This window comes from Homo sapiens, chromosome 20 (assembly GCF_000001405.40).
Source record: "Homo sapiens chromosome 20, GRCh38.p14 Primary Assembly".
NCBI lineage: Eukaryota > Metazoa > Chordata > Mammalia > Primates > Hominidae > Homo > Homo sapiens.
This window is the reverse complement of record NC_000020.11, coordinates 24,544,650-24,560,066: the sequence shown is the minus strand read 5'-3', so window position 1 is coordinate 24,560,066 and position 15,417 is coordinate 24,544,650. Positions and strand designations below refer to the sequence as shown.

The 15,417-nt window shown below is 41.9% G+C and overlaps 1 protein-coding gene across 23 annotated transcripts in view; it reads right to left on the bottom strand.

Moving 5' to 3' along the window:
* The window catches only part of SYNDIG1 (synapse differentiation inducing 1), a 196,988-nt gene that overhangs the window by 106,550 nt on the left and 75,021 nt on the right, over positions 1 to 15,417 (bottom strand). For 2 of the 23 annotated variants that reach the window (XM_017028069.3, XM_047440500.1), the window contains exon 3: positions 11,438 to 14,198. The exons of the other annotated variants lie outside the window; for them this stretch is intronic. In XM_017028069.3, coding sequence (XP_016883558.1) covers positions 14,196 to 14,198 — 3 coding nt within the window. In that variant the 3' untranslated portion in view covers positions 11,438 to 14,195. Of the gene's footprint in view, positions 1 to 11,437; positions 14,199 to 15,417 lie in introns of those variants that run through there. 23 annotated transcript variants of the gene reach the window in all.

The following is a 15,417-nucleotide window of genomic DNA, read 5'->3' as shown; positions in this document are numbered from 1 at the left end:
AAAGGAGAGGAGAGAAATGTTAAAAAAAAAAAAAAAAGTCAAAGAAATAATGGCCAAAACCTTCCCAAATATGAAGAAGAAAAAAGTTATAGATTCAAGCTTAGTGAACCTCAAATAGGAAAAGACCAACACCAAGACATGGCAATTACATTATTGAAAAACAGAGAAAACTTTGAAAGCAAGAGAAAAAAACCACAAAAGACTTGTCCCGAACAGGAAATATCAGGACAACTGATGTCTTATTTATATGAAACAATGGAGGCTGGAAGGCAACAGAGTGACATGTTACAAGTGAAAAAAACTTCCAAACGAGAATTCGATATCCAACAAAACAACCTCTCCAAAAATGAGAGCAAAAGAATGACATTCCCAGGTAAATAAAGGCTGAATGAATTTGTTCCTAGCAGACCTGTCTTACAAGAAACAGTGAAAGAAGCCTTCAGGCTGGAAGTAGATGATGCAGATGGCAATTTGAATTCACAGGAAAAGACGGAGAGCCCTGGGAACAGTAAATATGAGTGAGGGTAACTATATAATACTGTATAAATACATTTTTATTCTCCTGTGATCCTGTGTCGTTTGTTTGTTTAAGGCTTATAGATCTTTTTTCCTTTTTATTTGTACACATTTATGGAGTACATGTGCACTTTTATGACATGCATAAATTGCATAGTGGTCAGGTCATGGCTTTTTAGAATATCCATCACCCAAATTACATACCTTGTACCCCATTAACCAATTTATCATCATCCTCCCTGCTCCCACTCTCTCACCCTTCTGAGTTTCCACCCACTTAGGAGGTGAACATGTGATGTTTGTCTTCCTGTGCCTGGCTTGTTTCATTCAAGATAACAGCCTCCAGTTCCATCCATGTTGCTGCAACTGACATAATTTCATTCTTTTTTAGGGATGAAGAGTATTCCATTGTGTATATATATATATACCACATTTTTAAAAAATCCAATTATCCATTAATAGACACTTAGGTTGATTCCCTATCTTTGCTATTGTGAATAGTGCTGCAATAAACATATGAGAGCAGGTATCTTTTTGATATATTGATTTCTGATATTGCTCGATCAAATGGTAGTTCTATTTCTAGTTCTTTGAGAAACCTCCAAACTGTTTTTCCTTGTTATAATTTTTAAAAGACATAATTGTATAAATCAACTGTTGTAACACTACTGTTGGATTTATAACATGCCTGTGAAATACATACATGACAGTATGAGCAAAAAATGGGGACAATTGGGCTGTACTGGAGTGCGGTTTCTATATTTTACTGGAATGAAGTTAGCACTAACTTGAAGTAACTTGGATAAATTAAGATGCTTATTGTAATTTGCAGAGACAATACTAAGAAAATAACAATACAGTTAAAATATCAACAGAGAAACTAAAATGGTACGCTAAACATATTTACTTAACATACAAAAACAGAAGTAAGAAGAAGTAGAGAAACAATAATAACTACTAAACCAGGATACATGCAGAAAACAAAAATCAAAATGGCAGACATTATTCCAATCATCGAAATTATGGTTAATGCCAATGGACTAAATACTCCAATCAAAAGACAGAGATTGTAAGGCTAAATTTCGAAAATGTGATTCAGGTATGTCCCTTCTATTTACAAAAATCAATTGTAAGTAAAAGGATAGGAAAAGATACATCACACAAACAATAATAATTAAGAAAGAGTGGCTATGTTAATATCAGACAAGACAGACTTTAAGACAGAAAATATTATTAGACACAAAGAGGGACATGAAACTGAACCAATAGTCCAGTAGACAATTTTTTTTGGATAAATAGAGAAATTGACACTTCTGGTCTTAAAGATTGAAACTTAAAATTGTTTTATCTGAGTTCCTTCCTCAGAAAAGTACCCCCAGGCCTTTCAAAAAGTAGTGAAGAACCGAAACTCACCAAATCACTGCATCCAGACTATGAGACACCAAGCCCCTCATTCATCACGATTGCTTCCTTGTCCCTCCAGAGTTCCTGTTTTCCTATACATTGTTACACTTCTTCCCTGCTATATAAACCCCTAACTTTAGTCTGCAGGGAGACGGATTTGAGACTGAGCTCCCATCTCCTCGGCTGCAGCACCTGATTAAAGCCCTCTTCCGGCGAGGCAGCCAAGATGGCCGAATAGGAACAGCTCCGGTCTACAGCTCCTAGCATGAGCGACGCAGAAGACGGGTGATTTCTGCATTTCCATCTGAGCTTTGAAGAGAGCAGTGGTTCTCCCAGCATGCGGCTGGAGATCTGAGAACGGGCAGACTGACTCCTCAAGTGGGTCCCTGACCCCTGACCCCCGAGCAGCCTAACTGGGAGGCACCCCCCAGTACGGGCAGACTGACACCTCACATGGCCGGGTACTCCTCTGAGACAAAACTTCCAGAGGAACGATCAGACAGCAGCATTCGAGGTTCACGAAAATCCACTGTTCTGCAGCCACCGCTGCTGATACCCAGGCAAACAGGGTCTGGAGTGGACCTCTAGCAAACTCCAACAGACCTGCAGCTGAGGGTCCTGTCTGTTAGAAGGAAAACTAACAAACAGAAAGGACATCCACACCAAAAACCCATCTGTACATCACCATCATCAAAGACCAAAAGTAGATAAAACCACAAAGATGGGAAAAAAACAGAGCAGAAAGACTGGAAACTCTAAAAAGCAGAGCGCCTCTCCTCCTCCAAAGGAACGCAGTTCCTCACCAGCAACGGAACAAAGCTGGACGGAGAATGACTTTGACGAGTCGAGAGAAGAAGGCTTCAGATGATCAAACCACTCCGAGCTACAGGAGGAAATTCAAATCAAAGGCAAAGAAGTTAAAACTTTGAAAAAAATTTAGACGAATGGATACCTAGAATAACCAATGCAGAGAAGTCCTTAAAGGAGCTGATGGAGCTGAAAGCCAAGGCTCGAGAACTACATGAAGAATGCAGAAGCCTCAGGAGCTGATGCGATCAAGTGGAAGAAAGGGTATCAGTGATGGAAGATGAAATGAATGAAATGAAGTGAGAAGGGAAGTTTAGAGAAAAAAGAATAAAAAGAAATGAACAACACCTCCAAGAAATATGGGACTATGTGAAAAGACCAAATCTACATCGGATTGGTGTACCTGAAAGTGACGGGGAGAATGGAACCAAGTTGGAAAACACTCTGCAGGATATTATCCAGGAGAACTTCCCCAATCTAGCAAGGCAGGCCAACATTCAGATTCAGGAAATACAGAGAATGCCATGAAGATACTCCTTGAGAAGAGCAACTCCAAGACACATAATTGTCAGATTCACCAAAGTTGAAATGAAGGAAAAAATGTTAAGGGCAGCTAGAGAGAAACGTCGGGTTACCCACAAAGGGAAGCCCATCAGACTAACAGTGGATCTCTTGGCAGAAACTCTACAAGCCAGAAGACAGCGGGGGCCAATTGTCAACATTCTTAAAGAAAAGAATTTTCAACCCAGAAATTCATATCCCGCCAAACTAAGCTTCATAAGTGAAGGAGAAATAAAATACTTTACAGACAAGCAAATGCTGAGAGATTTTGTCACCACAAGGCCTGCCCTAAAAGAGCTCCTGAAGGAAGCACTAAACATGGAAAGGAACAATCGGTACCAGCCCCTGCAAAATCATGCCAAATTGTAAAGACCATCGAGGCTAGGAAGAAACTGCATCAACTAACGAGCAAAATAACCAGCTAACATCATAATGACAGGATCAATTTCACACAAAACAATATCAACTTTAAATGTAAATGGACTAAATGCTCCAATTAAAAGACACAGACTGGCAAATTGGATAAAGAGTCAAGACCCATCAGTGTGCTGTATTCAGGAAACCCATCTCACGTGCAGAGACACAAGTAGGCTCAAAATAAAAGGATGGAGGAAGATCTACCAAGCAAATGGAAAACAAAAAAAGGCAGGGGTTGCAATCCTACTCTCTGATAAAACAGACTTTAAACCAACAAAGATCAAAAGAGACAAAGAAGGCCATTACGTAACGGTAAAGGGATCAATTCAACAAGAAGAGCTAACTATCCTAAATATATATGCACCCAATAGAGGAGCACCCAGATTCATAAAGCAAGTCCTGAGTGACCTACAAAGAGACTTAGACTCCCACACAATAATAATGGGAGACTTTAACACCCCACTGTCAACATTAGACAGATCAACGAGACAGAAATTTAACAAGGATACCCAGGAATTGAACTCAGCTCTGCACCAAGTGGACCTAATAGGCATCTACAGAACTCTCCACCCCAAATCAACAGAATATACATTTTTTTCAGCACCACACCACACCTATTCCAAAATTGACCACATACTTGGAAGTAAAGCTCTCCTCAGCAAATGTAAAAGAACAGAAATTATAATAAACTATCTCTCAGACCACAGTGCAATCAAACTAGAACTCAGGATTAAGAAACTCACTCAAAACAGCTCAACTACATGGAAACTGAACAACCTGCTCCTGAATGACTACTGCGTACATAATGAAATGAAGGCAGAAATAAAGATGTTCTTTGAAACCAACGAGAACAAAGACACAACATACCAGAGTCTCTGGGACACATTCAAAGCACTGTGTAGAGGGAAATTTATAGCATTAAATGCCCACAAGAGAAAGCAGGAAAGATCCAAAATTGACACCCTAACGTCACAATTAAAAGAACTAGAAAAGCAAGAGCAAACACATTCAAAAGCTAGCAGAAGGCAAGAAATAACTAAAATCAGAGCAGAACTGAAGGAAATAGAGACACAAAAAACCCTTCAAAAAATTAATGAATCCAGAGCTGGTTTTTTTGAAAGGATCAACAAAATTGATAGACTGCTAGCAAGACTAATAAGGAAGAAAAGAGAGAAGAATCAAATAGATGCAATAAAAAATGATAAAGGGGATATCACCACCAATCCCACAGAAATACAAACTACCATCAGAGAATACTACAAACACCTCTACACAAATAAACTAGAAAATCTAGAAGAAATGGATAAATTCCTTGACACATACACCCTCCCAAGACTAAACCAGGAAGAAGCTGAATCTCTGAATAGACCAATAACAGGATCTGAAATTGTGGCAATAATCAATAGCTTACCAACCAAAAAGAGTCCAGGACCAGATGGATTCACAGCCGAATTCTACCAGAGGTACAAGGAGGAACTGGTACTATTCCTTCTGAAACTATTCCAATCAATAGAAAAAGAGGGAATCCTCCCTAACTCATTTTAAGAGGCCAGCATCATCCTGATACCAAAGCCGGGCAGAGACACAACCAAAAAAGAGAATTTTAGACCAATATCCTTGATGAACATTGATGCAAAAATCCTCAATAAAATACTGGCAAACCGAATCCAGCAGCACATCAAAAAGCTTATCCACCATGATCAAGTGGGCTTCATCCCTGGGATGCAAGGCTGGTTCAATACACGCAAATGAATAAATGTAACCCAGCATATAAACAGAACCAAAGACAAAAACCACATGATTATCTCAATAGATGCAGAAAAGGCCTTTGACAAAATTCAACAACCTTCATGCTAAAAACACTCAATAAATTAGGTATTGATGGGACATATCTCAAAATAATAAGAGCAATCTATGTCCAACCCACAGCCAATATCATACTGAATGGGCAAAAACTGGAAGCATTCCCTTTGAAAACTGGCACAAGACAGTGATGCCTCTCTCATCACTCCTATTCAACATAGTGTTGGAAGTACTGGCCAGGGCAATTAGGCAGGAGAAGGAAATAAGGGGTATTCAATTAGGAAAAGAGGAAGTCAAATTGTCCCTGTTTGCAGATGACATGATTGTATATCTAGAAAACCCCATTGTCTCAGCCCAAAATCTCCTTAAGCTGATAAGCAACTTCAGCAAAGTCTCAGGATACAAAATCAATGTACAAAAATCACAAGCATTCTTATACACCAATAAAAGACAAACAGCAAAATCATGAGTGAACTCCCATTCACAATTGCTTCAAAGAGAATAAAATACTTAGGAATCCAACTTACAAGGCATGTGAAGGACCTCTTCAAGGAGAACTACAAACCACTGTTCAATGAAATAAAAGAGGATACAAACAAATGGAAGAACATTCCATGCTCATGGGTAGGAAGAAACAATATCGTGAAAATGGCCATACTGCCCAAGGTAATTTATAGATTCAATGGCATCTCCATCAAGCTACCAATGACTTTCTTCACAGAATTGGAAAAAAACTACTTTAAAGTTCATATGAACCAAAAAAGAGCCCGCATTGCCAAGTCAATCCTAAGCCAAAGAACAAAGCTGGAGGCATCACACTACCTGACTTCAAACTATACTACAAGGCTACAGTAACCAAAACAGCATGGTCCTGGTACCAAATCAGAGATATAGATGAATGGAACAGAACAGAGCCCTCAGAAATAATGCCACATATCTACAACTATCTGATCTTTGACAAACCTGAGAAAAACAAGCAATGGGGAAGGATTTCCTATTTAATAACTGGTGCTGGGAAAACTGGCTAGCCATATGTAGAAAGCTGAAACTGGATCCCTTCCTTACACCTTATACAAAAATTAATTCAAGATGGATTAAGGACTTACATGTTAGACCTAAAACCATAAAAACCCTAGAAGAAAACCTAGGCATTACCATTCAGGACACAGGCATGGGCAAGGACTTCATGTCTAAAACACCAAAAGCAATGGCAACAAAATCCAAAATTGACAAATGGGATCTCATTAAACTAAAGAGCTTCTGCACAGCAAAAGAAACTACCATCAGAGTGAACAGGCAACCTACAAAATGGGAGAAAATTTTCGCAACCTGCTCATCTGACAAAGGGCTAATATCCAGAATCTACAATGAACTCAAACAAATTTACAAGAAAAAAACAAACAACCCCATCAAAAAGTGGGCGAAGGACATGAACAGACACTTCTCAAAAGAAGACATTTATGCAGCCAAAAAACACATGAAAAAATGCTCACCATCACTGGCCATCAGAGAAATGCAAATCAAAACCACAATGAGATACCATCTCACACCAGTTAGAATGGCAATCATTAAAAAGTCAGGAAACAATAGGTGCTGGAGAGGATGTGGAGAAATAGGAACACTTTTACACTGTTGGTGGGACTGTAAACTAGTTCAACCATTGTGGATTTCAGTGTGGCGATTCCTCAGGGATCTAGAACTAGAAATACCATTTGACCCAGCCATCCCATTACCGGGTATATACCCAAAGGATTATAAGTCATGCTGCTATAAAGACACATGCATATGTATGTTTATTGCAGCACTATTCACAATAGCAAAGACTTGGAACCAACCCAAATGTCCAACAATGATAGACTGGATTAAGAAAATGTGGCACATATACACCATGCAATACTATGCAGCCATAAAAAATGATGAGTTCATGTCCTTTGTAGGGACATGGATGAAATTGGAAATCATCATTCTCAGTAAACTATTGCAAGGACAAAAAAAAACAAACATCTCATGTTCTCACTCATAGGTGGGAATTGAACAATGAGAACACATGGACACAGGAAGGGGAACATCACACTCTGGGGACTGTTGTGGGGTGAGGGGATGGGGGAGGGATAGCATTAGGTGATATACCTAATGCTAAATGACGAGTTAATGGGTGCAGCACACCAGCATGGCACATGTATACATATGTAACTAACCTGCACATTGTGCACATGTACCCTAAAACTTAAAGTATAATAATAATTTTTTAAAAAAGCCCTCTTCCTTGGCAATAATCGTCTCAGTGATTGGCTTTCTGTGTGTGGAGCAGCAGGTTCTAGATGGAACCCCTGGTGTTTCAGTGACAGAAGCTTTATAATAAAATGGCCAACAGTTCAGCAAGATATAACAATTATAAATGTACACACTCTTAACAACGGAGCCCCAAAACACATGAAGTAAACACTGACAAAATAAAAGAAAGAAATAGACAATTCCCTAAAAGTAAATATTTCTGATACTCCACTCCTAATTGTGACAACTAGGCAGACAAACAGAAAGAACAGGAGACACGAACAGGAATTAACTCACACGACCTTGCGAATCTGTATAAAACACTTTGCAGGACAGAACACTCATTCTTTCCTTGTTCACATGGCATATTCCCCAGAACATATCAGACACTAAGCCACATATCAAGTCTCAATCAATTTAAAAGAGAAATTATACAAACTATGTCCTTCAACCTTAATGAGATTTAATTAAGAATAAATAATAGGAAACAACAAAATCCCTGAATATTTGGAAATTAAACAACACATTAATAAATAACTCATTAGAAAAATAAAAAATCACAATGGCTACAGAAGTATTTTCAACTATATAAAAATTAAAACACAACAAATCAAAATTTACAGGACACAGTTAAAACAGTGTTTGAAAGAAAGTGATAGCCTTGAATATACATTATAAGAAGAAACAAATGTCAAATAAGTAATCCCAGCTCACGCCTAAAAAAAAAAATAGGTAAAAAAGAACAAATTTAAGCCAAAGGAAACAGAGGGCAGGATGTCATAAATATCTGAGTAAAAAATTAATAAAATGGAAAACTAAATAACGAGAGAAAAATCAATGGAACCAGAAGTCAGCTATTTGAAAAGATCCAAAAAATGATCAATTTCTATCTAGACTGACCAAGAAAGAAATAGAGAAACTTAAATTACTAAAATGAGGCATGAAAGAGTAAATATTACCAACCATACAGAAAGTAAAAGGATTTAAATGGAATATGATGAACAACTTCATGCCAACAAATTAGGTGTCACAATACTAAAACTGGGACAAGAATAAAGGACGATCTTCAGATTTTCTTTAAAACAAGAGACTTAAACTAGTAAAGTAATAGAATCAGTTCAGTAATTGAAAATCTTCCCACAAAGAAAAGGCCAGGCCCAAATGCCTTCACTGGTGAGTTCTAACAAACAAAAAGAAATCATACCAATACTAAACAGAGTCTTTCAGAAAATAAAGAGAGAAATAATTCCCAACTTATTCTATGCAGCCAATATTACCTTCATACTAGAGCCCAGAAAAGATGGCACAAGAAGAGAAAACTGCAGATCAACATCCCTCATGAATATAGGCACAGAAATCCTTATCCAAGGATTAGAAAAGATCCAGTGACACTTAAAGAGGATTATAAACCACGACAAAGTGGGATTTACCCCCAAATGCAAGGATGGTCTGTTATCTGCAAAGCAGTTAATGTAGGCTGGGCGCAGTGGCTCACACCTGTAATCCCAGCACTTTGGGAGGCCGAGGCGGGCAGATCACGAGGTCAGGAGATCGAGACCATCCTGGCTAACACAGTGAAACCCCGTATCTACTAAAAATACAAAAAAAATTAGCCGGGCATGGTGGCGGGCGCCTGTAGTCCCAGCTACTCGGGAGGCTGAGGCAGGAGAATGGTGTGAACCCGGGAGGCAGAGCTTGCAGTGAGCCAAGATCGCGCCACTGCACTCCAGCCTGGGCGACAGAGAGAGACTCCGTCTCAAAAAAAAAAAAAAGCAGTTAACGTAATATACCACATGATTAAAGGATGAAAAAATAAAGGACAACAAAGAAACACCACACATGATTACCTAAGTAGTACCTGACGAATTGAACACCCATATGCAACTCCCTAGAAAAACCACAAATAGAACTACCATACAATCCAGCAACCCCACTACTTGGCATTTATCCAAAGGAAACGAAATCAGTATATTAGAGAGACATCTACACCATGCGTTTGTTGCAGTGCTATTCGCAATATCCAAGATATGGGATTAACCTAGGTCTCCAACAACAAACAGATAAATGGATAAAGAAAATGGGGTAGTTGTACACTGATAGGACAGGAATCAGGGAAATACTGGGTAGAAGAGGGCAGTTTCCTGGCAAAGCCCCATCCTCAAGCCTGGATATCTGTGGCCCTAAGTGAGAAAAGGCATTCCTGTTTTTGTACCCAAAAAGTTGTATTTTGGCCCGCATGCCTACACCCATATAAACCCTGAAACCCAGGACCCAGAAGCAGACTAGCAAGCCAGAAGACCAGCAAATAGACAGATGGCAGAACAACATGGCAGAGAAAGGGAGAAGAGGAGGAACATCTGAATGCCGAGAGGAGTTTGGTTGGGGATGGTCAGAGAGGAGTCCAGCCACTGGGTGGCCCAAGTCCAGGGGAGGATCACCTTCCCACTCCAGTATCCTTCCCGGCTCCACATCCATCCCACTGAAAACCACCTCTACCACTCAAAAAAACTTCACATTCATCCTTCAAGCCCGTATGTGACCTGATTTTTCCAGGATGCTGGGCAACAGCTCTGGATCCAGCCCTCTGTCCTTGCGAAAAGGCAAAGGGCCCATTGAGCCTGTTAGTATTCAAGCCGTCTGTGGACAGCAAAGCTGAAAGAGCTTTGTAACAGTGGGGTTGCAGTCACCCACCCCTAGACACTACTGCAAGGCCAGAGCATAAAGCACTCGCCCCAGCCTCTGCACCTGCCCTTCTGCATGCTCCAGTCCTGCAAGGGGTTTGAGCAGCAACAGAACAGGTGAACCACACCCACCCCACGTCCTGCAAGGGGAATCAGGGAACTCTCCCATTTCAACACCACAGGATACTATTCAGCCATAAAAAAATAATGAAATTATGTCATTTGCAGCAAATATGGATGAAACTGGAGGACATTATGTTAAATGAAATAAGTCAGGAGGGAAAGTTAAGCATTGCATGTTCCACTCGTGGAAGCTAAAAGGAGTTAATTTTATAGAAGTAAAAGTAGAAGGAAGAATAGTAGAGAGTGGGCAGAGTAGGAGGAAGGGAGAGATAGGAAGAGATGTATTAAAACATACAAAATTACAGCTAGATATGAATAACTTCCAGTGTTCTACAGCACTGTAGCATGAAAACAGTTGAAAAATAATATATTATGCAGTTTCAAATAGCTAAGAGGAGGTTATTGAATGCTCCCAACACAAAGCAATGATCAAAGTTTGAGATAATGAATATGCTAATTACCCTGATCTGATCACCATATGTTACATGTATCAAAACATCACTATATACCCCATGAATATGAATATCCCATTTATTTGTCTATTAAAAAATAAAATTAAATAAAAAATAAAATAAAAAACCTCTTCAACAAAGTAGTGACAAAGGGAACTTCCTATACCTGATTATGAGTGTCTACAAAGAACTACAAAAACATCACCTTTCATCATGAAAGCTAAAAGCTCCCCCTAAGATCAGGAGCAAGGCAAGGATGTTCGTTCACTCACACTAAACAATGTATTTGAGGTTCTGGCCAGTGCTATGAGGTAAACAAACAAATGAGCAAAACAAAACCCCCAAATTTCCTTCCACCCAAATCAGCAGCACCTCAAATCTCTCTGGAGATACTAAAAATAATTTTCAAAATGCTGTTTATTATTTTCTGAACTCTTTCTCTTTCCTCTGGGTCAACTGTTCTATTTGTTGTTGTTCTGTCTCATTCATGCTTTTGGGTTTTCTTCACATGTGTGTTGAGTCCTCGCCCCTCTTTCCATACTTATGACTGAGGTATATGTAAAGTGCTCTATTGCAGTTATAGAATTCTGTGTCCTCCAACAGCTTTCAAGTTTTTACATGGGAAGACAGACTGGAAGGCCTTGGAAAGCTTGGCGGAGAGTTCACAGAAGTGAAGTCCTGGTGCCGTCTCTTCCTGCTTTGTCCTTGGACTCTGGCATAATGCTGAAACAGAAGTTTACTGGAACACATTTTTCCCCCTAATGTAGAAAGAACAGCATCATCATGAGGAGACAGAGTCTAAAGTCAGGAGATCTGTCTCAGATCCAAGGGCTGACAGCAGAGCCACGTGTGTGATCTTGGAAACACCCCAAGTTTCTGTCTCTCCACGTGTAGGATGAGGACAGCACCATGACCCATCCCCAAGCGCTTCGAGGATTCGATGGCCAAGTGCACTTGGAGGGCGTGGCAGAAAAGGTGCTCCATCGATGAGCGTTCCCTTCCCCCTTCTTCCTTCAGTGAAGAAAAGGCTCAGCCCCCATGGGCACCGCTTCTAGGTGGTGACCGTCATGTACTTCAGGTCTGAGAGGTTTTGCATTGCCACAGGTAAGTGCCATTCAACATCTGGTCACCATCTCTAAGGGCAGGAGGGTGGTCAGGCCTCTGCACCTGGACTCCATCCACTTCATTTCATGGCTGTAAACTCAAATTGTATATTTTGTAGACCTACTTCATTACTTGTCCCTGAAGTCTCTCTGAGTTTATTTGTGTGAAAGGAGAAGTGGCTTCCCACTGCTGGTATTCCCAGAGACAGCAGTTTTTAGCTACTGGCTGGGAAGTGGATGAAGCAGTGTTCACATACCTGGGAAGAGGCCTGGGCTGTCGGACATCAGGCCCAATTATCACTACCCAGGATGCCCTGAGGGCACCCCCACAGGATGCCTGTCTTGTCACCCTGAGCGCAGTGGCACTAGATAATGAGCGGCATGGCACCTCTGCACTCCCGCAAAGCCCCAGAGGTCCCCTACATCTACCTGTCTAATGTCAAGCCATGCTCTACTTGGCGACTTAAGGTGGAGCAGGACAGATCATAAACACTTGCCGAATAGTTGAGAACCTCCCATAAATATTCTCAAAGTTAGCCATAGAACCTGTTCTTGTTACTACCACAACCTCGAAGGCAAACTGAACGCTCCACATGCCCTTGCAAACATATGTCAGACAGGCCGACCTCTTCGGACCTGGAGAGGCTCCTTCATAAATGCCAGGGATGCACCTGTCTTGGGAAAGTGATTGGGGAAAACACAGCCAGCCACCCAGTGCCCAGGAGCTCCAGCAAGGGAGCCCCGCTCAGAACCAGGGAAACGAGGGGCCCTGCTCTGAACCAGGGCAATGAGGGGGCCCTGCTCTGACCCAGGACAATGAGAAGGCCCCACTCTGAACCAGGGCAATGGGAGGGGCCCTGAACAAGGGCAATGAGGTGGCCCCCTCTGAACAAGGGCAATGAGGGGGCCCCATTCTGAACCAGGGCAATGGCTTTTTGAAAACGGCATTATTTGGGAAACAGTATCCATTTGCTATAAACCAAGTGAAGCTATACAATACTCAAAGAAGTTAAAAATCACATTTTTTTTTCTTTTTTGGCTGAGTAGAACTGCCTTCTGGAAAGAGCTCAGATCAGTATTCACTGTTCTTTTGTTTCAGTAGTTGTCATTCTGTTCAGTTAGACCATCTGAAAAAAAAAATGATGCCAAAAGTCTATGGTTTTTGGCTCTGTGGTTGCAGTACTGGCACCCAATTTGTTATCACTTCCCTATATTGTGACCCTAAGCAGTCTCTCCCACACTGACTGAGCTTGGCTGTGGGACCTGCTCTGGTCAATGAGATAGTAACATGCAGGACACAGGCAAAGACTTGACAAGCCCTCACAAAGTGGGCCCCACCTCTCTGGCTGCCGCAAAATGAAGCCTGGGACAGGATGGGTGACAGCTGGGTGATGCAGTTACCTCTGTCACTGCAGCCAACAGCCCACCAGAGGCTGGCTTCCCAGCCTATCACAGCTAGCTATGGACAAGTGAGTGAGCCCAGGTGAGACCAGCAGAACAATCACCCAGCTGAGCCCAGCTCAATTGCCGACCCTCAGAAATCATAAGCTGAAGAAAGAGTTGTTAAGGCACTGTGTTTTGGGGGTGATTTGTTATGCAGCAAATGCTAACCAATACATGACCCTTTATTATTTAATGGAATGGAGAAAACAGTAAACCAAAGAACAGCTACTGCATGTTCAATGACACTTCTAACCAGTCATTAGTATTTTGTTAATTACCGAAGAAGGGAATGAAAAGCACCATAGCTATACTGTAAGAATGTTTCTGAGAAAATCTTTGTTTTCAGAGAAAAAGGACGAAGTTAACCACCGTGGTGAGGCTCTGAAATCCTCCTTGGCATCCTGAGCCGCATGTAGAAGCAGCAGCAGCCATAATGTGTCTCCATTCCTTCTGCTCAGAGCCTGTGGAAGGGGCCATTTCTTGGTCCAGGTGAGCTCCTTGGAAGCCGACCAGAAAGTCTCACTAAAGTGCCTAAGTAAACAACTTGCTGTTTCATCGATGTTACTTTAGTATAAATGCCAACATGCTCCATCTTACGTTATATTCAAAAGTCACTAGAAATATTAATACAGAGTAGGCACCGTTATTATGACTAAAGATTCTTATTGCTGTATTATTAAAAGAATTGTTTCTGGTGGGCTTCCACTTCTGCTGCTAGATCAGAGAAGCAGGACTGGGTGGGAAAGGTTACCTCCCCAGAAGTCTATACTACTTGTCAGAGCCTTGGACCTACTAAGACAGACAAGTCTGTGTCTGCCCCCACCCATTCCTAGCTTTTATTTAAGCTCCCCTCAAGCCTCCTCTTACTCATCCTCAAGACTCAGCCGGGGGAGGGCTCCTGCCTGTGTGATGACTTCTGAACCCCGCATTGAGCTCAGGGCCCCAGACCCTCTTCAGAGCTGATGGGGTATTCCATTCCCATAACTCCTGGGGCTGCATTTTCGTGCATCTGCCTCTCTAATTCCACTCCATGCGAGTCGGGCAGCATTTACGCTTTGCTGTCAGCAAAGCCCTCAGATCTTGGAAAACTTAGTAGACAGGGCAGAGGCTTCTGAACAGAAGCCAAGCATGCTCCCAACTTTCCACAGCTGCAGCGTGAGTGCCCTCCCTTCACAGGTGTCACCAGAGGGCATTGGGGCCTGCGCAGATGCCCAGGCATCACGTCTTGGTCCTCTTCCATGCCACGACTCTCCACTCCCTGCCAGTGGGCTTCCCGGGCTCCACCGGCTGGAGTTGCACCAAAGTTTCCCTCTCCATTTCTAATCCTCCCTCCTGACTAACGCTGGATCTCTCAGCTCCTGGTTCTCAATGGGGTCTCTCCAATCCTGATCCTCTGGTCTCCTTGGCCTGTCATTCCCTTGCAATTTCTCCGGCCTTTCTATCAAGTGTGGGGTCCCATGGTTGTGGGTCTGATTCTGCTCCAAACTTCCTCCCTATTGCTTTCTCCTGCCTCCTCCACCTTCCAGGCAGAGTGCACCTTGCCAAGGGAGCCTCACCTGCTAAAGATGGTCCCACATGGCTGCAGAAAGTCACAGAGCCCTGGGTCTGACCAGATCTTCACACAAACTCATACTGCAGCTGGGCAGTTTCTCCAGGAGTCTTTTCTAGAATGGGCACTTCCCCCAGTTCATTGCTCTAGACTGTCTGCAATCTCCTCACACCCCAGGAGCTTCTCTGGCTGTGCTGATGCTCAGCCAACACGAACCCCTCCTTTTCTTCCTCTTCAACCCAGAGCCCTTCAAACTTTCCCTTACCCCACCCTTCTCTTCTCTC